Here is a 25,239-nt window from a genome sequence, read left to right as displayed (position 1 = left end):
ATATAACTCATTTTTTTCTAATGGTTGCATAATTATTCAAATTATGAACATATAATTTATTCAGCAATGTATGTATTGATGGATATTAGGTTATCTTCCATTATTTTTATTTGTATGTTTGTTTTGTTACTATTGTGTTTGTTGCCACAACAAAAATGCTGCAACAAACACATTTGTAAGTGTATCCTTATTTCTTAGTCCCTTAATTTCCACGGGATAGATTCCCAGACATGAAATTGTTGCATCATATGCATGTTTTTTTCTCTCCATAAATTCTGTAACAGTTCAATTTCTTTTAGTAATGTGAGAGAGTGCCCTTTCCCTAGCAAAAACCCCTACTACAGATTTTATCTGCTTAATTTTTCTCAACATAACGTGTGAGACGTATTATCTCACTTTCCCTTTGATTTGCATTTCCTTAACACTTTTTTACATAGTATTTAGACATCCTCTCGGAAATTGCCTATTTATATCCTTTGCCTATTTTCCAACTGAGATGTCTTTATCAGTTTGTAGAGGTATTTAAATGTCTTAAACATAAAATCCTTCACCTATTTTTTTAGACAGGATCTTGCACTGATGCCCAGGCTGGAGTGTAGTAGTGTGACCATAGCTTACTGTGGCCTCAAACTCCTAGGCTCAAGGGATCCTCCTGCCTCACTCTCCTGAGTAGCTATGACTACAGGCACACACCACTATGCCCAGTTAATTTTTTATTTTTTTGTAGAGACAGGATCTTGCTATGTGCCCAGGCTGGTCTCAAACTCCCAGGTTCAAGCAATCCTCCCATCTCAGCCTCCCAAAGTGCTGGGATTACAGATGTGAGCCACTACACCCGGCCCTTTACCTGTTTTATAAGCTGCAACTTTTTCCCAGTCCATCATTTGTCTTTTGGCTTTGTTTATAAATATTTTTCCATGTAATATAAAGTTTATGCAAGCAAATATGACTATGTTTTCCTTTATGGCATCTTCATTTATTGTCTTGATTTAAAAGATCTTCCCCACCACCAGGTTATGTTCATGGTCTCCTACATTTTGCTCTTATGTTATTGTTTTGTCTGTTTTTTTACATTTAAATTTTTAATCCACCTGGAATTTATTTTAGTATATGGAAGGAGTTAAAAAATGTCTTTGTATTCTTCCAGATGGGTAAAGTTGAAGAGTATGACTTAATACATAAACCATTTTTGTTCTACCAGGATTGACTTAATAAGGATATTACAATGTGTAGTTACACAGGGCCCCAAACCAGAAGGACCCTACATGCTTGGATTATTGCCCTGCTATCATCATCTTGAAATTCTCCTTAATTTTGTCTTTCAAATTGTGTTTTGTAAGTGAATTCCAATGGAACACTGAGGAGGGGGCCTGGAGCCTCAGTGTAGTCCCACTTCCCACTACCTCTCTGCCTTTCTAGGATAGGTTCTTGTCTTCTATTCCCCAGCCATCTGGCACCCTGGCCCTGCCCAGCTTCCCCTTTCCCATCCTCACTTCTTTTCAGACTTTTAAAATATGCAAGGTCACCAAAAAATTAGCTACATGCACGCTTTCTGAAAAACAAACTGAAGGATATACTCTACCAAAATAAAAGAATAAAACTAGAGAGAAAAATATTGAATTCTAGAGGCAAAGATCCAAATGGGAGAGAGGAAAAAGGACTTCAATAAAGATAGCTGGTCCTGGAGAACAGCCCATTCAAACTGGAGCAGGAAGACAGAGGGTTGTGGGTGGGATGCGTCCAGAAAGAAATGGAGCTGCTAGATTTCCTGGTGTACTGGCTGAACCTTGCTGAGAGGAGTTTTACAGCTCTGTGAAAGTTTAGAACTGGGGATGAGTTCAGGTTAAAAAAATAAAAATAAAAATCCAGGAGTGGTTGGCAAGATGGCCAAATAGGAACAGCTCCAGTCTGCAGCTCCCAGCTAGATCAACACAGAAGGCAGGTGATTTCTGCATTTCCAACTGAGGTACCCAGCTCATCTCACTGGGACTGGTTAGACAGTGGGTGCAGCCCATGGAGGGTCAGCCGAAGCAGGGTGGGGTGTTGCCTCACCCAGGATGCGCAAGGGGTCAGGGAACTCCCTCCCCTAGCCAAGGGAAGCCGTGAGGGACTGTGCCATGAGGAAAGGTACATTCCGGCACAGGTACTACGCTTTTCCCATGGTCTTCACAAACTGCAGACCAGAAGACTCCCTCGGGTGCCTACATCACCAGGGCCCTGGGTTTCAAGCACAAAATTGGGTGGCCGTTTGGGCAGACACCAAGCTAGCTGCAGTTTTTTTCATACCCCAGTGGCACCTGGAACACCAGCAAGACAGAATCATTCATTCCCCTGAAAACGGGGCTGAAGCCAGGGAGCCAAGTGGTCTAGCTCAGCAGATCCCACCCCCACAGAGCCCAACAAGCTAAGATCCACTGGCTTGAAATTCTCGCTGCCAGCACAGCAGTCTGATGTTGAACTGGGATGCTAGAGCTTGGTGGGGGAAGGGGCGTCCGCCATTACTGAGGCTTGATTAGATGGTTTTCCCCTCACAGTGTAAACAAAGCCCCAGGAAGTTCGAATTCGGCAGAGCCCACCACAGCTCGGCTAAGCTGCTATAGCCAGACTGCCTCTCTAGATTCCTCCTCTCTGGGCAGGGCATCTCTGAAAGAAAGGCAGCAGCCCCAGTCAGGGGCTTATAGATAAAACTCCCATCTCCCTGGGACAGAGCACCTGGGGGAAGGGGCAGCTGTGGGTGCAGTTTCAGCAGACTTAAACGCTCCTGTCTGCCAGCTCTGAAGAGAGCAGGGGATCTCCCAGCATGGCGCTTGAGCTCTGCTAAGGGATGGACTGCCTCCTCAAGTGGGTCCCTGACTCCTGTGCCTCCTGACTGGGAGACACCTCCCAGCAAGGGTTGACGGATACCTCATACAGACAGAAGAGTTCTGGCTGGCATATGATGGGAGCCCCTCTGGGACGAAGCTTCCAGAGGAAGGAACAGGCAGTAATTTTTACTATTCTGCAGCCTCCACTGGTGATACCCAGGCAAACAGGGTCTGGAGTGGACCTCCAGCAAACTCCAGCAGAACTACAGCAGAAGGGCCTGACTGTTAGAAGGAAAACCAACAAACAGAAAGGAATAGCATCAACATCAACAAAAAGGATGCCCACACAAAAACCCCATCCAAAGGTCACCAGCATCAAAGACCAAAGGTAGATGAATCCACAAAGATGAGGAAAAACCAGCACAAAAAGGCTCAAAATTCCAAAAACCAGAATGCCTCTTCTCCTCCAAAGATCACAACTCCTCACCAGCAAGGGAACAAAACTGGATGGAGAATGAGTTTGACGAACTAACAGAAGTAGCCTTCAGAAGGTGGGTAATAGCAAACTCCTCTGAGCTAAAGGAGCATGTTCTAATCCAATGCAAGGAAGCTAAGAACCTTGAAAAAAGGGTAGAGGAATTGCTAACTAGAATAACCAGTTTAGAAAAGAACACAAATGACCTGATGGAACTGAAAAACACAGCACAAGAACTTCGTGAAGCATACACAAGTATCAGTAGCCAAATAGATCCAGCAGAAGAAAGGATATCAGAGATTGAAGATTAACTTAATGAAATAAAGCATGAAGACAAGATTAGAGAAAAAAGAATGAAAAGGAATAAACAAAGCCTCCAAGAAATATGCAACTATGTGAAAAGACAAAACCTACATTTGACTGGTTCTCCTGAAAGTGATGGGGAGAATGGAATCAAGTTGGAAAACACACTTCAGGATATTATCCAGGAGAACTTCCCCAAAGCAAGACAGGCCCACATTCAAATTCAGGAAATACAGAGAACACCCACAGATACTCCTCGAGAAGAACAACCCCAAGACACATAATCATCAGAATGACCAAGGTTGAAATGAAGGAAAAAATGTTAAGGGCAGCCAGAGAGAAAGGTCAGGTTACCCACAAAGGGAAGCCCATCAGACTAACAAGTGGATCTCTCTGCAGGGACCCTACAAGCCAGAAGAGAGTGGGGGCCAATATTCAACATTCTTAAAGAAGTTTCAACCCAGAATTTCATATCCAGCCAAACTAAGCTTCATAAGCAAAGGAGAAATAAAATCCTTTACAGACAAGCAAATGCTGAGAGATTTTGTCACCACGAGGCCAGCCTTACGAGAGCTCCTGAAGGAAGCACTAAACATGGAAAGGAACAACCAGTACCAGCTACTGCAAAAACATACCAAATTATAAAGATCATCATCACTATAAAGAAACTGCATCAACTGAGGGGAAAAATAACCAGCTAGCATCATAATGACAGGATCAAATTCACACATAACAATATTAACCTTAAATGTAAATGGGCTAAATGCCCCAAATAAAAGACACAGACTGACAAATTGGATAAAGAGTCAAGACTCATCAGTGTGCTGTATTCAGGAAACCCATCTCACGTGGAGAGACACACATAGGCTCAAAATAAAGGGATGGAGGAAGATCTACCAAACAAATGGAAAGCAAAAAAAAAGCAAGGGTTGCAATCCTAGTCTCTGACAAAACAGACTTTAAACCAACAAAGATCAAAAGAGATAAAGAAGGTCATTACATAATGGTAAAGGGATCAATGCAACAAGAAGAGCTAATTATCCTAAGTATATATGCACCCAATACAGGAGCACCCAGATTTATAAAGTTCTTAGAGACCTACAAAGAGACTTAGACTCCCACACAATAATAATGGGAGACTTTAACACCCCAATGTCAATATTAGACAGATCAACGAGACAGAAAATTAACAAGGATATTCAGGACTTGAACTCAGCTCTGGACCAAGCAGACCTAATAGACATCTGCAGAACTCTCCACCCCAAATCAACAGAATATACATTCTTCTCAGAACCACATTGCACTTATTCTAAAATTGACCACATAAATGGAAGTAAAACACTCCTCTGCAAATGCAAAAGAACAGAAGTCACAACAAACTGTCTCTCAGACCACAGTGCAATCATATTAGAACTCAGGATTAAGAAACTCACTCAAAACCACACAACTACATGGAAACTGAACAACCTGCTCCTGAATGACTACTGGGTAAATAACAAAACTAAGGCAGAAATAAATAACTTCTTTGAAACCAATGAGAACAAAGATACAACATACCAGAATCTCTGGGACACAGCTAACACAGCATGTAGAGGGAAATTTATAGCACTAAATGCCCACAGGAGAGCAGGAAAGATCTAAAATTGACACCCTAACATCACAATTAAAACAACTAGAGAAGCAACAGTAAACAAATTCAAAATCTAGCAGAAGACAAGAAATAACTAAGATCAGAGCAGAAATGAAGGCGATAGAGACACAAAAAAAATCCTTCAAAAAATCAATGAATCCAGGAGCTGGTTTTTTGAAAAGATTAACAAAATGGACATACCGTTAGCCAGACTAATAAGTAAAGAGAGAAGAATCAACTAGACACAATAAAAAATGATAAAAGGGATATCATCACTGATCCCACAGAAATACAAACTACCATCAGAGAATACTATAAACACCTCTATGCAAATAAACTAGAAAATCTAGAAGAAATGGATAAATTCCTGGACACATACACCCTCCCAAGACTAAACCAGGAAGAAGTCGAATCTCTGAACAGACCAATAACAAGTTCTGAAATTGAGGAAGTAATGAATAGCCTACCAACCAAAAAAAGTCCAGGACCAGATGGATTCACAGCCGAATTCTACCAGAGATACAAAGAGGAGCTGGTACCATTCCTTCTGAAACTATTCCAAACAATAGAAAAAGACAGACTCCTCCGTTACTCATATAATGAGGCCAGCATCATCCTGCTAAACCTGGCAGAGACACAAGAAAAAAAGAAAATCTCAGGCCCATATCCATATCCTTGATGAACATCAATGCAAAAATCCTCAATCAAATACCGGCAAACCAAATCCAGCAGCACATCAAAAAGCTAATCCACCAGGATCAAGTCGGCTTCATCCCTGGGATGCAAGGCTGGTTCAACATACACAAATCAATCAACATAATTCACCACATAAATAGAACCAATGACAAAAACCACATGATTACCTCAAAAGATGCAGAAAAGGACTTCAGCAAAATTCAACAGCCATTCATGCTAAAAACTCACAATAAACTAGGTATTGATGGAATGTATCTCAAAATAATAAGAGCTATTTATGACAAACCCACGGCCAATATCATACTGAATGGGCAAAAATTGGAAGCATTCCCTTTGAAAACTGGCACAAGACAAGGATGCCCTCTCTCACCACTCCTATTCAATATAGTATTGGAAGTTCTGGCTAGGGCAATCAGACAAGAGAAAGAAATAAAGGATATTCAAATAGGAAGAGAGGAAGTCAAATTGTCTCTGTTTGCAGGTGACATGATTGTATATTTAGAAAACACCATTGTCTCAGCCCAGAATCTCCTTAAGCTGATAAGCAACCTCAGCAAAATCTCAGGATACAAAATCAATGTGCAAAAATCACAGGCATTCCCATACACCAATAATAGACAAAGAGAGGGCCAAATCGTGAGTGAACTCCCATTCACATTTGCTACAAAGAGAATAACATACCTAGGAATACAGCTTACAAGGGATATGAAGGACCTCTTCAAGGAGAACTACAAACCACTGCACAAGGAAATAAGAGAGGACACAAACAAATGGAAAAACATTCCATGCTCATGGGTAGGAAGAATCAATATCGTGAAAATGGCCATACTGCCCAAAGTAATTTACAGATTCAATGTTATCCCCATCAAGCTACCATTGACTTTCTGCATAGAATTGGAAAAAACTACTTTAAATTTCATATGGAACCAAAAAAGAGCCCGTATAGGCAAGACAATCCTAAACAAATAGAACAAAGCTGGAAGCATCAGGCTACCTCACTTCAAACTATATTACAAGTTATTGTAATCAAAACAGCATGGTACTGGTACCAAAACAGATATATAGGCCAATGGAACAGAACAGAGGCCTCAGAAATAATGCCACACATCTAAAACCATCTGATCTTTGACAAACCTGACAAAAACAAGCAATGGGGAAAGGATTCCCTATTTAATAAATGGTGTTGGGATAAAATGGCTAGCCATATGCAGAAAACTGAAACTGGACCCCTTCCTTACACCTTATACAAAAATTAACTCAAGATGGATTAAAGACTTAAATGTAAGACCTTAACCCATAAAAACCCTGGAAAAAAACCTAGGCAACACCATTCAGGACATAGGCATGGGCAAAGACTTCATGTCTAAAACACCGAAAGCAATGGCAACAAAAGCCAAAATTGACAAATGGGATCTAATTAACTAAAGAGCTTCTGCACAGCAAAAGAAACTATCATCAGAGTGAACAGGCAACCTACAGAATGGAGAAAATTTTTGCAATCTATCCATCTGCCAAAGGGCTAATATCCAGAAACTACAAGGAACTTAAACAAATTTACAAGAAAAAAAACAAACGACCCCATCAACAAGTGGGCAAAGGATATGAACAGACACTTCTCAAAAGAAGACATTATGCAGGCAACAGACATATGAAAAAATGCTCATCATCACTGGTCATCAGAGAAATGCAAATCAAAACCACAATGAGATACCATCTCATGCCAGTTAGAATGGCGATCATTAAAATGTCAGGAAACAACAGATGCTGGAGAGGATGTGGAGAAATAGGAATGCTTTTACACTGTTGGTGGGAGTATAAACTAGTTCAATCAGGATCTAGAACTAGAAATACCATTTGACCCAGCAATCCCATTACTGGGTATATACCCAAAGGATTATAAATCATTCTACTGTAAAGACACATGCACATATATGTTTACTGCAGCACTATTCACGATAGCTGCAGTAAAGACTTGGAACCAACCCAAATGCCCATCAATGATAGACTGGATAAAGAAAATGTGGCACATATATACCATGGAATACTATGCAGCCATACAAAAGGATGAGTTCATGTGCTTTGCAGGGTCATGGATGAGGCTGGAAACCATCATTTTCAGCAAACTAACACAGGAACAGAAAACCAAACACTGCATGTTGTCACTTATAAGTGGGAGCTGAACAGTGAGAACACGTGGACACAGGGAGGGGAACATCACACACTGGGGCCTCTTGGGGGTGGTGGGTTAGGGGAGGGAGAGTGTTAGGAGAAATACCTAATATAGGTGACAGGTTGATGGGTGCAGCAAACCACCATGGCACGTGTATACAAAAAAAAAAAATCCCTAGCAACTGAGAAAATAAGATAATCATTAACTCCAAGAAAAATAAAATGTCATAAACAAAAGGAAATATAATCATAGGTTATTTCCTGGCTAGCTGTAATATACCTAAGTGGTCATAAGAAGGTAAATACTGAATTTTGATCTAACTAAAACTTATAACTATATTAGGGGAGTGACAAAGGAAGGAAGTTTGAGGGAAGGGTAGAAAAGAGGTAAGAGAACTAAAAGATATCCTTATCTGCCATAATAGGAAGTTAATAGGGAAGGTCTAAAACAGAAAGTTTAGGAAATAGCAGTATAAGCATGTTACTTAGAAATATGGAGATCAATACCAATAGAAATAGCCAATGAATGCAAAGTATCTCTGGGGAGCAGAAAATCAGGAATGAGAAAGTGGTGCATAAAACTGTTGCTTCTTATTGTAATACTTATAGTACTCTTTAATTTTTTAAACTATATGTTTTTGGCACTTTTATAAAATAATTAAATGTTTTAAAAGTAACAGGCAATAGAAATTCAGGCTGTCACTAACTTCACATGGGTGAGGCTGGCTCTAGTCATTTAAAGCAGGTCCATAATGCCCAAGCCAGTCTCCATCGAGTTTGAATGCTGACACTTTGGAGTTGGTTTAAGCTGATCAGCTTTGTTTCAACTCTGTGAAACTATCAAAGAGCTGGATGATGCACAGATGGTTATTCTCTAATTTCAGGATTTTTAAACTTAGTAACAATGTTTTTGTATACTTTTTTAAAGTTTCTGATTCCCTCCTTAGTCTTTGAGTTTTCATTTCTGTTATCATCTTTTCCATCTCTTTCAACTCCAAATATTTCCTTTAAATATTTGGAGTTTTAAAGGAACTCCAAATATTTAAGAGGGCTTTTTAAATTTGATCTCTGTTCCAAAGGTGGAATTTTTCTCTAAGCTCTCAGCACTTTGTCAGTTTCCCAGAACAGGCCCAAGACTTTTTGGCACTGGGAATCAAAGCAAGCAAATGTTTATGGATTTTCCTGAAAGCAGAATAAAGAAAACCAGGATAATAGAGAGCAATAACCGACAGCAATGAAAATCCAGCACAAAGGAATTTCTGCATTGTACCTAGGTAGTTACATTTATTTTTTTAGATGCCGATTATGAATTATCATTTGTATATATTTAGTAACTATTCAGATTATTTTAATACAGGATTTTGATGGGGAAAGTGTGACTAGACTAGCAGCTTTCAATAACCTGAAAAGCTTTTTAAAATCCTGATGCCTAGGTCCCACTCCCAGAGATTCTGATGTAATTGGTTGGCATGCAGTGTGGGGACAGGAATTTTTTTAAACTCCTCATGTTAGTCTAACATGCGGCAATAATTGGCTATCACTGGACTGGATCATGTCCCAGGTGTTCTCTCTCAGTTAAAGCAGCTGAGAAAAGTCTAATTCCATAACCATAATCTGGGCACTAAATTCACCTGATGACAAGTGCCCATATGGCATATGAATTCCTGGAGGAAATAACCAGTGGCTCTTGCAAAAACCTTTAAGTGGTAGCAATTGTCACACAGCCACCCCTTAATGTCCATCGAACACTAGGTTCCCAAGATGATGTGTCAAGGGCAGCATGGATGGCTGGTAACTCTCCCTCATTATGGCTTCCCTCTGCCTGGGCAATGGTCATTTCTTGTTAAGCAGCTTATTTGAACGACAACATTGCCCATTTTAGAGCCACTCTAATTGCCCAGGCAACCAGCTTCCCTGCACTTTTTAATCAAAGAATTGGATAGTCCAATCATGGTTAATTCTAAGTCCTTTTCTTCTGGTCCCTAGCATATTGGATGAACAAAGGTTTTATGGAGCTCATTTCCTCTGTGGGACCGGAGGATGCCATGTGAGCATATGTGAAACTACTCTTCAACAACTTCAATGGTGTCTGCCCCCCTTGGATAAGCATGTGTTTGGAGAGGATGAATCGAGCCCCACAGCTGAGACCTGAGATTAGTGATTGTAGTCAGCAGTTGGTGCCTAATTAGTGAAGCAGGTAAGGGGGACTGTTGAAAGGGGTGCCTGCTGAACCAAAAGCCACCATTGAGACTGAGCTGCAGAAAGCATTTCTAAACAGCAGACAGCAGGAAGTAGGCTGATCTGGAGCTCAAGTAGAAGAGGGAGCCAGGCTGACATAGGGCTATGTTGGCCTGAGTCCCAGAACAGAATCACCACTGGACCTCTTAGGAATGCAGGGCTGAGCTCAGGGAGTAGGAGAAGGGGCTAGAGAGGGAAGAACGCCATCATCATCTTCCTACAGATGATCAGTGCTCTAGTCTAATTGCTAGAGAAGTAGAGTGAGGGTGGTGGAAGAAGACCCACGGAACATCACTGGGGCCATCATATCAGGGCCAGAGGCCTCCAGGAGCAAGGAGAGAGCCCCTGTGAAATACCAAGTCCTAAACCAAAGCCACCTACCCCAGCCGCAGTCTGCAGTTCCAGATACTGTGCATACCTGGACAGTATGTCTTCAGCTGCTCTCTACCCAGCTTGAGTGTAGCACTGTGCATGTGCTCAGCTCAGACCTGAGCAACAGGGAGCACACTCAGACTACCCACTGAGTCTGGGCCTGGCAGAAGCAAGGAACCATCAGTGGATAATGACTGCAATCAGAACTTAAGTGGAAACAGAAAGACATGCCTATTCAGCCCTTTGAAAGCTGGACTCATTTCTAGTTTTCCTTGTTATATTGAAGAACCAACATTTTTGAGCTAATATATGAGTAGAAACATGGATGCAAACTTCATTCTAATTATTAATGAGAAATGCAGATTATCCTCCTTCCTATGTTTAAAATAATCCTGATCTACGTGTATTGGAAAGTCAGACCCCTTCCTACTAAACCAGTCCCTTTATGCACTAAACCCCTTGAGCAAGGCCAAAAGCTCTGGAAAAATGCTGACCTTTCTTCTAGGCTCTAAGTGTTGAGAAATCTCTACAAATCCACAATAGAAATTAAACAGAATCACAGAGCTATGAGCTGTTAGACCTTAGTTCATCAAACATTTACTGAGCACCTACTTTACACCAGCACTGAGGGTACACAAATAAATCAGATCTAGTGTCTGCTTCTGTAGGCTCTCAGAGAGGGCAATATGCATGAACAGATGATTTTAATACAATACAATGTACACAAACCACAGAGGTATGAATACATAATGGAGAGATTGGCCTGCATTAGAAAGGGAGAGAGAAATGGGCAAAGGCCTCAAGGAAGAAGTGGCTCTGGAGCCTAAGAATGAAGAAAGAATACAATAAAGGTTGAAATATTCACTGTTATATATTAAAATGAGAATAAGATGATTCGTTTTAGAGCATAGTGGAAAAATAATAACAGTTGGGAAAGAACACTTCTCTCACCCCAGCTCAATAATTTTCTGAACAGAGAAAAAAAAAAATGGTGAAAGATTTGGAAGGAGAGGTAACAACATCAGACACCATACAAAAATGACTCGCTCTTTACCAGTGATGACAGGAAGGGTGACATCAGCACGAATGAGAGATTTTTAAAGACCAAACAGGACTAGCTCATGTCTGAGGAACTACAGCAAAATAAGAGCTGTCAAGGCTTGGGAGTGGGGCCATGTAAAATAGCATTAAGAGCAGGAAGAGGTAGGCTGCAGAGGAGTTAACATGAGTCTCCAGGACCCCACAAGGGAAGAGAGGTGCCTAGGGAAGAGAGCCTGAGACACAGTGAATCCACTGCTTATGTTGTGGGGCAGGGAAAGAAGGAACACGCTGGGAGCAAACAAGTTTTCTTACTAGTGTTGTGGGTATGAAACTAAGGCCGAAGCTCAAGCACACAAGAAATGGGACTTCACTGCACATTGTATGCACTGTCAAAATATCACATGTACTCCATAAATATGAACAATTATTATGTATCAATTAAAAAGTAGCTTTATTGAGATATTTATATACAATAAATTCATTTGTTAAAAAAAGTAGGAATTTGCTTTGTTATTACAATTTATTTTTAAGCTCCATTCCACTGAGGTTCCCTTCTTTTTCTCAGAGTTAAAGAGGGCCAAGGCATTGGAATAGGGGTGGCAATCTGCTTTTCTGTTATTATCTACCAACACTGATATAAGCTCAGATGTCCTGTCACCTCTCATTCCCAGCTATAAACCCTATTCAGATTCTACTTGCCCAGCCACTTTCATACTTCTCTCTGGTGACTAGGAATTAATTCTGCACCTCCCACATCATGCTGGGCCATAGGAAACTGTGGCACTGTCCAAGGCCCTATGATGTCACAACAGGCTGGCCAAGGGAAACATATGACCAAGACACACAACCCAGTCATTTCTTCTCCCTGGTCTGGCTACTTCTCTGGGGCTCCAGAATGAAACAAATACAGTGACCCTGGTGAAATGAACTGTGTTCAACTCAATACTGGACGTCAGTGATTATAGCTAGGAAGGTGCATCTGTTTTAGGATGCCTTCAGATATAAGAGTATTAGTTATCTTCTGTAACATAACTAATTACCCCCAAAACTGAATGGCTTAAAACAATAGACATTTATTTTCACACATTTTCTGCAAGTCAGGAATTTAGGAGTGGCTTAGCTTGGTGGTGCTGGCTCAGATTCCCTCGTGGGGTTGCAGCCAAGATGTCAGCTGGGGCCACAGTTATTAGAGAGCTTGTCTGGAGTTGGAGAACTTGCTTCCAAGATGGCACATTCACATACCTGGCAAGTTATTGCTGGCTGTTGGCAGAAGTCCTCAGTTCCTTACCACATGGACCTCTTCATAGGGCTGTTTGAGTGCCCTCATGACACAGCAGCTGACTTCCTCCAGAGTCAGTGATACAATAGAGAAAGCAAGGAGGAAGACACAATGCCTTTGTGTCCTAATCCCAGAAGTCACTCACTGTCACTTCTGCCATATTCTCTATGCTTTACAAAAAAATCACTAAGACAAGCCCACACTTAAGTGTAGGGGAAAATTAGGCTCCACTTTTTTAAAGGAGGAACATGAAAAAAATGTGTATTCATATTTTAAAACCACCACAATAAGAGGACAAAATAAATGTGTTTGAAACATGAGGATGTATGGACTCACCTAACTAGAATCCAGAAATAGAGCAAATTTCAGGATGTTGATTGACCTAATGGCTTGTTGAAGTCATCAAGGAACCAGGATCTTTCTGATTCTTTGCTCTTTTATCCAAAGGATCATCTTGAAGCTGACTCTCCTCATGGTCACAGGAAGGCTGCCAACAGCACTGAGGGTGATGTACTTCCTTGTTCATATCTAGCCAGAGAAAGGATGAACTCCTTTATCATACAACAGAACTCCCCTGTGGTCGGGGAGAATCATGTGCTAATTGGCTTAGACCTGGTCTATCTGTGCATTGGCACAGTGGCAAGGGGGTAGAACTATCTGACTGGCTTAGACTTGGACCTTGGGGTTGCTCATTCCCTCCCAAATCACAGAGTTTACACAAAGAGTGAGGGAGAATGTGGACATTGAGGAAGAATACAATGTTCACCACAAAAATAGCTAGGCGAACAAGCTGCTGATTCTAGGAGAACTAACACTAATAGCCACGGCTCAACCCCCTGAAGTTGTGGAGAAACTGGACATAACCACTCCCACTCATCTTCCCCCTCAATCCCACTCAAGGCCCAGACAGCCCACCAAGTGGAGATGCAGCTGGACCAACAAGCTTCTCGCTGGGGAGGCAAATAGTGTGTGAATATATCAGTCACCTTAGGTTCTATCACTTGAATCAGCTGAGATCCCAAGAGCTCACACTCAAGGGATTGGAACTTAGATTGGAAGGGAGACAGGGTAAAGGAATGGGAAAGTGGAAAGGGGAGGGGGATGTTGACTAGCACAGGCCTTTCTAAGCAACTCCCCAGCTTTCCCACAAGCCCCACACACAGCCTCCCTCTCTAATTGTATCATGGCCATGATGGGATGGCCCAATTCACATGGGCCCTATGCCTCAAAGCATCAGGTACATACAGAAAAGAGGCTTACTATGTTGGGCCCTGTATTAGTTTCCTAGGCTGCTGTAATAAAGTGCCACAAACTGAGTATAGCTTATTGTCCCGAGAATTTATTGTCCCACGGTTCTAGAGGCTAGGAGGATGAAATCAAGGTGTTGAGGGGGTGGTGTTTCCTCTGAGACCCTGGTAGAATACTTCCTGGCCTCTTCTTAGCTTCCGGTGGTGGTCAGCAATCCTTGGCATTACTTAGTTTGCACCCGCATCACTCCAATCTCTGCCTCTGTCATCATATGACATTCTCCCTATGCATCCCCGTCTTTGCATGGTGTTTTTCTTTTCTTATAAGGACACGAGTCATATTGGATTACGGCCACCTTAATGATTTAATCTTAACTTTATTATATCTGCAAAGACTCTATTGCCAAATAAAGTCACATTCTCCAATACCCGGGGTTGGAACTAAAATACATCTTTTGTGGCGATGCAATGTAACCCACAACAGACCCCTTTCATTAGTTCTTCCTCCAGTGCTTTTGGTAATAGCTGCTAAGCAACTGCAGTTCTTTCCTTTAAAGAATAGTCTGTATTTCCCAGTCTAATCATCCTTCATGGATTTGGAAGGTAAAGCCAGGGGGATGTCCTATCTGCTGGTCCTTCAAGAATATAATGCACTGGCTCACCAATGGATGCAAGATTGGTGATTTCTCTGTTAAATTAGCCTGTGTACGGAGTGCTCAGCCTGCTTAATGCCTTCCTGAACCAGGGAGATGTACTGAAGCAGCATTTAGGTTCTGGCCATACAAACCTAACCTCTCTCTCCTCTCAGGGCCTTAGTTTCCTCATCTGTAAACTCTAGAGAGGCTTCTAGTATCTAACAGTGACTGTAAAGTGGCCACACCTGGCCCAAATCAGATACACATCGAAATTCACGCAGCCATTAGGCGGGTGTCCCTTGACAAGACCTGCAGGAAGGCTCATTAGAGCTATTAAAGCATCCCCCTGGAGACAGTGTGTATTTTACTATGCAGATTCCAAATTTAGATAATAAAGAAGCTAATGCTCTTCTCTTCCCAGGAGCCAGTGCTTTGTGTTCATACAGAACGTCTGGACACCCACGAAGACATCCCTTGACACACACATAAGTAATCATGAAGGATGAGAGTGAGCAGGGCAAAATGTCAGAATTACAGGAGACCTGGGGTTGTTCACTCTGCAGTCACTCAGCAACCAGGTTCTCTTGGCTTCAGTTTGGCAACTGCACAAGTACTAAACAGCTTTCCCTACAGAAGGAAGAAAAAGAATCTCTGGCCCAGCAGGACTGAACCAACACAGCTACACAGGCCTGCGAGAGTCAGCAGGGCCATCCAAGGACTATATCCAAAGGCCATGGGGTCCTTTGGGCAGCCATATTGAATCCAGCAACAGCAATGGGCTCATTCAGTAAGGTCCTGCTGAGGGCTGGGGCCAAGAGCACAGGACCAAGCTCTCTAAGGAAGAAGCCCGGGAGTCCCAGGCAGGCTGATTCACACCAGAGCAGGGCTTCCAGCCAAGCCTGGAACCTCCACACACAGCAAAGAACCTGATGGGTAAATGTTAATTGAATGAAGGAGACAGATAGAACTCAGAGGTAGCGGTGGAGGAGATGGGGAGAAAGGGAGAAAAAGAAGCAGAAGAGGAAAAAGAAGGGGAAGGGGAAGGAGAAGCAGAAGGAGGAGGACAAGGATGAGGAAGAGGAAGGGGAAGGAGATGGGAAGGGGAAAGGAGAGGAGGAGCCCAGTGATAAGGGGCAAGCCCTATGGCAGGGGCCAAGATCCTTTGCCTTGGTGGGCTCTGGAGACGCAAGGCTCCCACCGGCATGTGAAATGTCAAGCCCCTGATTAGCAATTCCAGACGCACCCACCGGTGGGCCACGGTCTCCAGTGGTCTCCTTGCCCCTGGTTCAGGTGGGCTCAGAATCCAGGTAGGGCTGGAGGACAGCAACAGACCCTGCACTGTGCATGTGTCAACCTTTTCCTCAGGGTCCTCTAGAAAAGGCACTCCTGCCTCACCCTCCCTCCAACCAATCTTTCCCACAACCTCTTGGAACCAAATGAACACATCTGTTGGTAAAAGGCAATGTAGTAAGAGAACAAGATCTGGACCCAGGTGGTTGGGCTTGAGCCCTGGCCCTGCCATTCACCAGCTTTTCATCACTGGACAAATGACACAACCAACCTAAGTCACTATTTCTTCATTTGTAAAATGGAGAAAATGATAATATCTGCTTCCCAGGGTTGTTGTGAAGAATAAATGAGATTATGTAAGTAGTGTGAACTGGTGTGTGTGTGTGTGTGTGTGTGTGTGTGTGTAATGCTTATTGTGCTTATTGTGTGTCAGGCACTATGTTAGTCATTACACTTACATACGATGCATATATATATGTATGTATGTATCTCATTACTCTTATACAGAAATGAGTAGGGCTTCTGGGTGACGTGAGTATTGTCTACACGACAGAACCCAAAGTCAATCTTAACGCCTCTTAATTTGGCAGTTAAAATTCCATGCAGCCCCCAGTGGCAATGCTTCCACATCTTGAAACTGAAAACTCAGATTGCAAGTGGCCTCTTTTTCCAGGTCAAAGGAGGCAGCTTCTCTTAATAACCATCCTGGAAAAACACCACATCTGAGAAAAGGTGCCCTCACTGCCTCATTCACTTGTCCCCAACTAATGAGAGTTTCCTGCTTTTGCCCTGGGAGACTGATTATTGCCCTCCTCCTCACTGGGAGGTTGTGGGCAGGGAACATGCCAGTCAGGGAGGCCTCTGCTTGCACCCTCTCTACTCCCCAGTGAAACAGAAGGGGATGTCAAAGGAGCACTTCCCCTTGCAGAGCTTGGACTGCTCCAGGAACGTGCTGCTCAGAGGCCTGTCTTGGCCTCCTTATTGACTGAGGAAAGCAACATCTGTTGGCACAAAACAAAAGCTCTTAACTGTCTTGTTAAAGCCAGAGCTCCTCAACCAGCATCCACTGGGTAATTTTTCTGGGTTAATAGTTGGGCCACAGAGCTGAGAGACAGGGAGGGGTAATAGCCCTTGTTGCCTCTTAAAGCCATCTATACGTCTTGCGTTTGCCATGAACCCATTCCAGCTTTTCCCAGGTTTTGTTCCCCAGGCTTCCCATAGATGGCCTAGGTCAGAGTTTTTTTAATCTCTATTGCATCACAATCACCTGGGGAACTTTGGTAAAACATGAAGACTGAGCTCCACCTGGACTAACTGAACCAGAATCACTCGGGTATGGAACTCAGGGAACCTGTGCTTCTTAAAAACTCATGGAGTAATTCTGATGCACAGTGAGGGTGGTGAACCACAGTTCCAGACAGTTTTCCATAGGTTTGCTGGGCCTTTCTGTAAGCAAGTGGCTGCTGCTTAGAAAACTGTTCCCACCCCATACCCTATGCACAAGCACACACACACACACGCACACACACTGTCTCTCAAGTATCAGGGCTGTAGTGTGGTATAACTGAGTCATGGGCATGAGCCCCTTTCCCAACCTGCCCACCAGGTAAGCTCAGGTCACGAGAGCAATAACTACCACATGTGCAGGTCTTCACTGCTTACCAAGCTTTCTTCAGAGATATGAGTGCCTTTAATCTTCTCAGCTGCCTGGGGAATAGTGATTATATTACCATTCTACCAAGGAGAAACTTGAGGCCTGTGGTAGGCAGAATAATGACACCAAAGATATTCACATCCTAATTCTCAGAACTTGGTGGTTCTGAAAATTAATATAAACCCTTTGAAAAACATTTTGTGTAAAAGCCTTTGATCCAGTGACTCCACATCCAGGAGCCTATCCCAAGGAAAAACTTACAAACATAAAAATCCTTACGAGCAAAAGTATTTATCATAGAGTTATTTATATTTAAAAATTAAAATGATTTACATTTCCAAAATTATGGGAAGGCTTAGGTAAAATATGGTATAGTCACTCAACTATGTAGTCAGTAAAAATGTTCGCTGTGTATATTAATATAGACTATATTTAGTATAATTTAGCACATTTTATATAATTTAGAATATATTTAGACACAATATTTAATTGAAATACCAGGATCTCAAGTTGTATATACAGTATAACTATGTAAAAACTATTTTTTAAATGGAAGGAAATGTTTATTATGTTTCTCTTCTATTGTCTGAACTGTATTTTCAATTCTTTATGAGTATACTTTATAAATGAGTATTACAGTTCACCCCCTGCAAAGAAGTCCACATCCTGATCCCCAGACCTTATGAACATGTTACCTTATGTGGCAAAGGGACTTTGCAGATGGAATTAAGTTAAAATGGGGAGAGTATCCTGGACTATCCAAATGGGCCCAGTGTAATTACAAGGGCCCTTTTAAAAGAAAGACCGGAGGCTCAGAGTCAGAAAAGGAGAGGTGGTGATAGAAGCAGAAATCAGGGTAATGTGTCCAGGAGCCAAGGAATGCAAGCAATCTCTAAAAGTTGGAAATGGGCTGGGCACAGTGGCTTGTGCCTGTAATCCCAGCTGAGGCGGGAGGATTGCTTGAGGCCAGGAGTTTGAGGCCAGCCTGGGCAACACAGCAAGACCCTATCTCCACGAAAAATAAAAAACAAAATTAGCCAGATATAGTGGCGTGTGCCTATAGTCCTAGCTACATAGGAGGCTGAGGCAGGAGAAGTGCTTGAGCCCAGGAGTTCAAGGTTGCAGTGAGCTATATTGCACCACCGCACTCTGGCCCAGGCAACAGGGGGAGACCCTGTCTCAAAACAAAACAAAGTTGGAAAAGACAAAGAGCGGGTTCTCCCCTAGAGCCCCCAGAAGGAACACAGCGTTCGATTTTAGCCCCAACAAGACCCATTTCAGACTTTGACGTCTAGAACTGTAAGCTAATAAACTTCAGTTGTTTTAAGCCATGACATTTATGGTAGTTTGTTACAACAGCAATAGGAAACTAATATAAGACCCGAGGAGGTAAAGTCCAAAGTACCTGTAGGAGCTGAGACCAGTTCTCGTTTCCCTCCTACTGTAGACTCAGGTACCCCAAAGCCCAGAGCTGCCCCTTAAGAGGAGAAGAGACAGCTCCACTGTGTGCATGCACCCCTCTAGGGCTGTGGACTGGTTGAACCTATGGCAGTCCCAGCTGTTGAGCCTTCCCGCCTTCCCCTTTTCCTCTAGAGTCTCCTTCCTAGGGATTACAGTGTGGTGTACAGATAAGAGCAGAGGAACTGACTTGAATATAAGAGCATTTTCCTTTGGAACACTCCACTCCCCAGCCATCAAGGTTTTTATAGCAAACACCATCCATAGCAACAAGATCAAAAATTCTAAACAGGCAAAAGCTAACAATAAATATCTAAAACCATTATGTGTTGAATGACAGTGGTTAGAACAAACAAAAAATTAAACTAAAACCAGAAGGTGAGTTCTACCACTTTTTAAAGTGCCTGCAATCGCAAATACCCATCATCCAGGGGGAGAATTGGGGTTCTTTGGCTTTTGGTTTTTAAGGTGGAGAGAACATTGGCAGAACCTGTTAGGAAATGAATTCCTTTACATTGTTGGTTCTCCAGACCAGCAGTATCAGCACCATCTGAGAACATTATTAAAATGCACATTCTCAGGCTCCACCCAACACCTACTGAAAGAGGAGCTCTGGGGTGGAGCCCAGCCATCTGCTCTAACAAGCCCTCCAGGTGACACTCATGCGCACCAGTTTGAGAACCACCGTCCTACAGGAAATCCAAATGCTGCTAAAAAGTTTGCCTGTCTGCTATCAAACCGAAAACATAACAGTTTCCCAGTATGTAGGTGAACGGCTAGAGTTTGGGGCCAGACTGGCATAAAAAAAAAAAAAAAAAAAAAAAAAAAAAACCTCCGAGTTTGGGGCCGGATTGGCAAGAAAACCGAAGTAAAATACTGACGGGGAAGGGCCTCTTTACAACTTTTTTCTTATGGATGTGTGATATAAATAGTATGCTTGCTGTGCAAACACATCCCCAACCCCTCCTTCCAACCCCATTGCTGCCCCTTACCCTCGCCTACAAAAAAACTCCGTATCCTTCCGTTCCTCAGTCCGGACTCCAGCTTTTTTCCTGGTCTCTCTCAAGTCATCCAAACCTCCTCCCAACCGCCACAAAGCTGCCCACCTACTATGCAAATCTAAACCCTTCCCATTCCCTCCCTTCACACAGTCTTAAAAGTTCCCTCCACAACGAAATTTCGTGTCAGAACTGTCTACTGGAACCCTTGGAAGCAAATAAACCGCCTTCCTCTAGCCTGAGAAACGTTCATCTGTCTCCTCTCCACTCTTGGGACAGCACCAAGAAGCTGGTTCCCGTAGCTTAGGGTTCGCTCGGCTCGGACTAGCCCCGGCTGCTGGGCGAAGCGGAGACTGTTGGAAGACTGTAGTCTGGAAGGTTTAGACTGAGCTGGAGGGACACCATGTGGCCATACCCAGTATGACACCTCAGGCCCGGAGGCTTCTGTTGTTTCTGTGGTGGTGTTTTTGTAAAGACCGTGAAACATGATGTTTAGGGTATTTTTGAGAATTAAAAAAGAGCAAAAGTTCACTCACAATTATGCTAACAAGATTATTGTTATTTCTGTTTCTTTTATTAAACATTTTCTGACAATTACAACAACACCCCCACCCCAAGGAGCACACCTTTCTTTTCAATGGAAATCTGATCATCAGCATTTTCCATGTTCATTCAAGTTTTTTGCAATCATTCTCTTCAGCGATAGATAACAGTAGACCCTCGATACATGCTGGTGCAATGAAATGGAATGAAGGAGCATTCAATTGTAGAGGGATGCTCAAGGTATAGAGGAACAGGGAAGTGAACCATTAATTCCGCCTGGACAGTCAGGGAAGATTTCTGAGAGATGTCATTCGGCTGAGGTGATTGAAGGAGAATCAGGTTATAGGATTGAAGGAGGATCCATTAAAAAGGTGTTTATTCTAGCACAGCTGAACACAATAAAGCCTGAACCAGGACAGAGCCCTGGGATCGGGTGGAGGGAAGGGGTGCAACAGAAATCTCTGGGGAGCAAGTTAAAACACAGATTCCCATGCTTTGCCCAGAGACCCAGATCTTGTAGGTCTAAGGAGGGGCCCAAGAATCTGAATATTTAGCAAGACCTCCCCACAGGGTGCTGCTGTTGCAGGTAATCCTCATGCCCACCACTGTTATTAAGCCCACAATCATCCTCGCCCCCCTCCTTCTTACTGCCTCTGTGGCCTCTGCCTGGAAAGTTCTTCCCATTCTGCTCTCGCTTGGCAAATGCCTTCTCCTTCAAGACCCGGCAGTGCAAATGTTCATAGGTAAACCCTTTCCGAGTGCTTGCTTTGTGCTTTGCACCACATTATTACTTTATAAAGAAACACTATTTAATTCTTAAAAAAAAAGAAAAAAGAAAAAAAACTCTACAGAGTAGGTCTCCTAATAAACCCCATTTTACAGACGAGGAAACTGAGGCAAAGCGCACTTGACTAACTGGCCCATTACCCATACTGCTGAGATGTATGTTTTCTTTCTTTCTTTTTTTTTTTTTTTTTTTTTGAGAAGGGGTCTCACTGTCGCCCAGGCTGAAGTTCAGTGGTTCGATCATAGTTCACTGCAGTCTTGAACTTCTGGGTTCAAGTGATTCTCTCACCTCAGCCTCCCAAGTAGCTGGGACTACAGATGCATACCACCACAGCAAACTAATTTTTTTATTTTGTGTAGAAACAGGATTTCACTGTTTCCCAAGCCGGCCTCAAACTCCTGGCTTCAAGCAATGCTTATGCCGTAGCGTCCAAAATGCTAGGATTACAGGTGTGAGCCACCACGCCCAGCCTGGGATGTATGTTTTCTATGTCGCCCGACAAGAGTACTCACAGCAGGAGGCTGAAGCTATGGTTGTCTCTGTGGCCCTGGAGCCTAGGGCAGTGCCGACAATGTAGTTGCCTTGTAAATATATGTCAAATAAATTTAAAAAATAAATACTGCCTCCTTCCATCGTGACCCTCAGCCAGTGCCTAGGCAACAAATCTGCCCTCTCCCTCTGCTCTCTTCCTCCTCTCCTTGACCCCCACTGCTTCCTCCTCCTCCTCTCTCCTTCCTCCACAAGGCTGCCTCCTCCTCATCTCCTTCCCCCCACCACCTCCTCCCCCCCACCACCTCCTCCCCCCCACCACCTCCTCCTCCTCTCCTTTCCCTCCACTCTCTCTTCCCACACTTCTCCTCCCACTCTCCTTCCCCCACCACCACCTCCTCCTCTTTCTCCCAACCACCACCTCCTTCCCCTCCTCCCTGCCCCCGCGCCCCGCTCTCCTTCCAAGGGGCCTGGGACCCCTTTCCTCCTGTTCTGTCACCTGGAAGTACTCAGCAGCCCCTGAGGCCAGCCCTAGCCTGCTATTGACTAAGGGACAGGAGTACCAAGGAATGCACTGTTCCTGTTTGTTGAGCCTTTTTATTTGGCAAAGCATGGAGAGAGCTCTCTCAGCTTCCAGACTTGCCTCCTCAAAGCCTCCTCTTTGCTGAGGCTCCCGCCAAGCCTCTCCCTCACAGCTGCTCTCCGCCTTCCTCTCTCCCTCCGGGTCCATTTCTGGATCCCTCCTTCCTTTCTGCTCCCCGCCCTACGTTCTTCCCACCCCTCCCCTGTCCCCTTGGCCTCCCTCCCACTTTCTCTCCGGGTTTCCCTGCCTCTTTTCTTCTCTCCTTCCCCTTTCCTCCCGCTCCTCTGTCCTCCCCGCAGCACCTTTGCTTTGGCTCTTTAGCTTTGGCTGGTCTCTCCCCGCATCTCCACCAGCCCGGCCTATCCTCTCCCTAGTTACGCGCTGCTCCGTCCCGGCCTCCGCACACTCCCCAGGGAGGCCCTTGGCCGCCCGGCCGCCTCCTCCCCGCGTCAGGGCCTCCCGCCCTGGAGGCCCGCGCCGGGCCCCTTGCTCCTGCGAGTGCTCATTACGGCCGCTCACCTCACACCCCGGTCCGCCCCCTCCCTCCTAGGGCGGCCTCCGCGGCAGCCCCCGCAGCTCTGCCCACGCCGACCCCGCCCCCCAGCACCACCACCACGGGCTCCGGCAGTCGGAAAAAAAAAAGAAAATCACCGCGTCCCCGAGCGGAGACCGAGGCACTGCCCGCCCCAGCTGCTGCCCACGTCACAGTGCAGGCGGACCGGAGCCCCAGCGGCAGAGCAGCCTGCGCCCCGCGGGCCCCGCCGAAGAGTAGCGGCCCGGGGCGGGGGCTGGAGCGCGGGCGCCACGAGTCCCAGCACTGCCCGCCGCGCTGCCGGCGCCCCAGGCTGGAGGAGGATGCCGGACCCGCAGGGAATTCATTCCTGTCCCAGCCCTGGCCGCCCTTCTGACGGAGGAGCGGCGGGCAAAACCCGCTGCCCCCCGAGCAGAAGCTGAGGGGAGACGCTAGGCAGCCTCGGGGCGACGGCGGCCAGTGGGCGCCGAGCGAGGAGCACGAAGAACCGGCTGCGGCCGGGCGAGGCGGCGGGAAGCGTTCGGAGCCGCTGCCGAAGCTTCCAGCAGAGCCCTCGAAGTCGTTCCGTTCCTTTCTTCTGTAAACACCTAATTGCAAGCCCCCGTGGGCCAGGCATGGGGTACCAGAGATCAGTAAAGCGGAGTCTCTGCCCTCGGGACCCCGTGTGGCGAATACAGTGTGGTAAATGAAATCACAAATCGTGGGAAATTGTGAAAGGAATCACGTTCTGTACACACACGCGACAAACAGCTCAACACATTTCACATATATTTCAGTCCTCATCTGTTCAGAAGCTACTATTAAAAGCTACTATTATCCCACCTCACAGAGGAGGAAACCGAGGCTCAGTTGTGTAACTTCTTGCTCAGAGTCACACAGCTAATAGTAATACGGAAGCGGGGATTCTTAAACTGCCTGATTGACTCCAAAATGGACTTTACTGCTTTCTACTGATAAAAGGTACCATGGATGCTAAACTCTGTTAGGGGGTGAGACCCCAGTGGTTTCTGAGGGATGAATAGGAGTTCCTTCTGTAGCCAAAGAACTCTAGGTCAAGGGATGGTGTGTGCAATCTCCTTTGATTTGCTGTAATTTTTTTCTTTTAATGAACTTTTTTTAAATCTGAAATAATTTCTGATGAAGTAGTTTAGATAATGTTCAATTCAAAATTTTTCTGAGGATCCCAACATGAATGGGTTTTAAAAAAATATATCAAATATCGGCTGGGCGTAGTGGCTCACGCCTGTATACAAGCGCTTTGGGAGGCCGAGGCGGGTGGATCACTTGAGGCCAGGAGGTCAAGACCAGCCTGGTCAACATGGTGAAACCCAGTCTTTACTAAAAATACAAAAATTAGCCAGGCGTGGTGGCGCATGCCTGTAATCCTATCTACTCGGGAGGCTGAGGCAGGAGAATCGCCTGAACCCAAGAGGCAGAGATTGTGGTGAGCCGAGATGGCGCCACTGTACTCCAGCCTGGGCGACAGAGTGAGAAAAATATAGAGAGAGATCAAATATCAAATTAATACTTAACAGTAATACTAAAGTCAACTTTAAAAGGGGGGAAAAGAATCACCCACAATGCCACCATCCTACCCTGGCCTTTTTTTTTTTCCTTAAAGACAGGGTCTTGCCCTGTCACCCAGGCTGGAATACAGTGGCCCAGCCCAGTCAGAGCTCACTGCAGCCTCTACCTCCTGGGCTCAAGCATGTGCCACCACACCTAGCCTTTTTTTTTTTTTTTTTTTGGTTGGTTGGTTTGTGTGTTTTAAACAGGGTCTCCCTATATTGCCCAGGCTGGTCTCAAACTTCTGGGCTCAAGCAATCCTCTTGCCTTGGCCTTCCAAAGCGCTGGAATTACAGGTATGAGCCACTTTACCTGGCCTACCCTGGCTTTTTAAATCACCATATATTTCCTCCCAGTTCTTGTAAGTAAATGCACAGGCACTTAACCTGGGTGATGTGGAAAGCAGTCCCATTAGTGTGCTCCATCAGTGTGACCAAGTGAATATTAAGA

General features: G+C 44.4%; 2 long non-coding RNA genes across 4 annotated transcripts in view, besides 3 other annotated features; one reads left to right on the top strand and one right to left on the bottom strand.

The window, feature by feature from the left end:
* Nucleotides 1-12,229: 12,229 nt before the first annotated feature.
* LOC105379882 (uncharacterized) lies at nucleotides 12,230-23,080 on the bottom strand. Its single transcript, XR_001748122.2, has 4 exons — nucleotides 22,994-23,080; nucleotides 22,132-22,200; nucleotides 20,284-21,147; nucleotides 12,230-13,535 (listed from the first exon to the last, which is right to left on the bottom strand). It is a non-coding gene; the product is annotated as an uncharacterized LOC105379882 (long non-coding RNA).
* Nucleotides 17,745-17,933: a silencer, noted in NCBI's record as "fragment chr11:10958208-10958396 (GRCh37/hg19 assembly coordinates)". NCBI's record gives its function as "represses an EF-1alpha promoter that drives an FKBP-Casp9 reporter gene in an ReSE screen in K562 erythroleukemia cells {active_cell/tissue: K562}" and the evidence as "EXISTENCE:reporter gene assay evidence [ECO:0000049][PMID:32094911]".
* LOC107984309 (uncharacterized) overlaps nucleotides 22,926-25,239 on the top strand; it is a 31,528-nt gene continuing 29,214 nt past the window's right edge. For 2 of the 3 annotated variants that reach the window (XR_007062590.1, XR_001748124.2), the window contains exon 1: nucleotides 23,497-24,183. This is a non-coding gene — a long non-coding RNA (uncharacterized LOC107984309). Of the gene's footprint in view, nucleotides 24,184-25,239 lie in introns of all 3 variants that reach the window. The other variant, XR_007062589.1, reaches the window with a different exon arrangement.
* Nucleotides 23,052-23,191: a silencer, noted in NCBI's record as "silent region_3156". NCBI's record gives its function as "represses an Ori minimal core promoter by ATAC-STARR-seq in GM12878 lymphoblastoid cells {active_cell/tissue: GM12878}" and the evidence as "EXISTENCE:reporter gene assay evidence [ECO:0000049][PMID:35858748]".
* Nucleotides 23,452-23,531: a silencer, noted in NCBI's record as "silent region_3155". NCBI's record gives its function as "represses an Ori minimal core promoter by ATAC-STARR-seq in GM12878 lymphoblastoid cells {active_cell/tissue: GM12878}" and the evidence as "EXISTENCE:reporter gene assay evidence [ECO:0000049][PMID:35858748]".

Source organism: Homo sapiens, chromosome 11, assembly GCF_000001405.40.
Source record: "Homo sapiens chromosome 11, GRCh38.p14 Primary Assembly".
NCBI classification, from domain to species: domain Eukaryota; kingdom Metazoa; phylum Chordata; class Mammalia; order Primates; family Hominidae; genus Homo; species Homo sapiens.
This window is presented reverse-complemented; position numbering and strand designations above follow the sequence as displayed.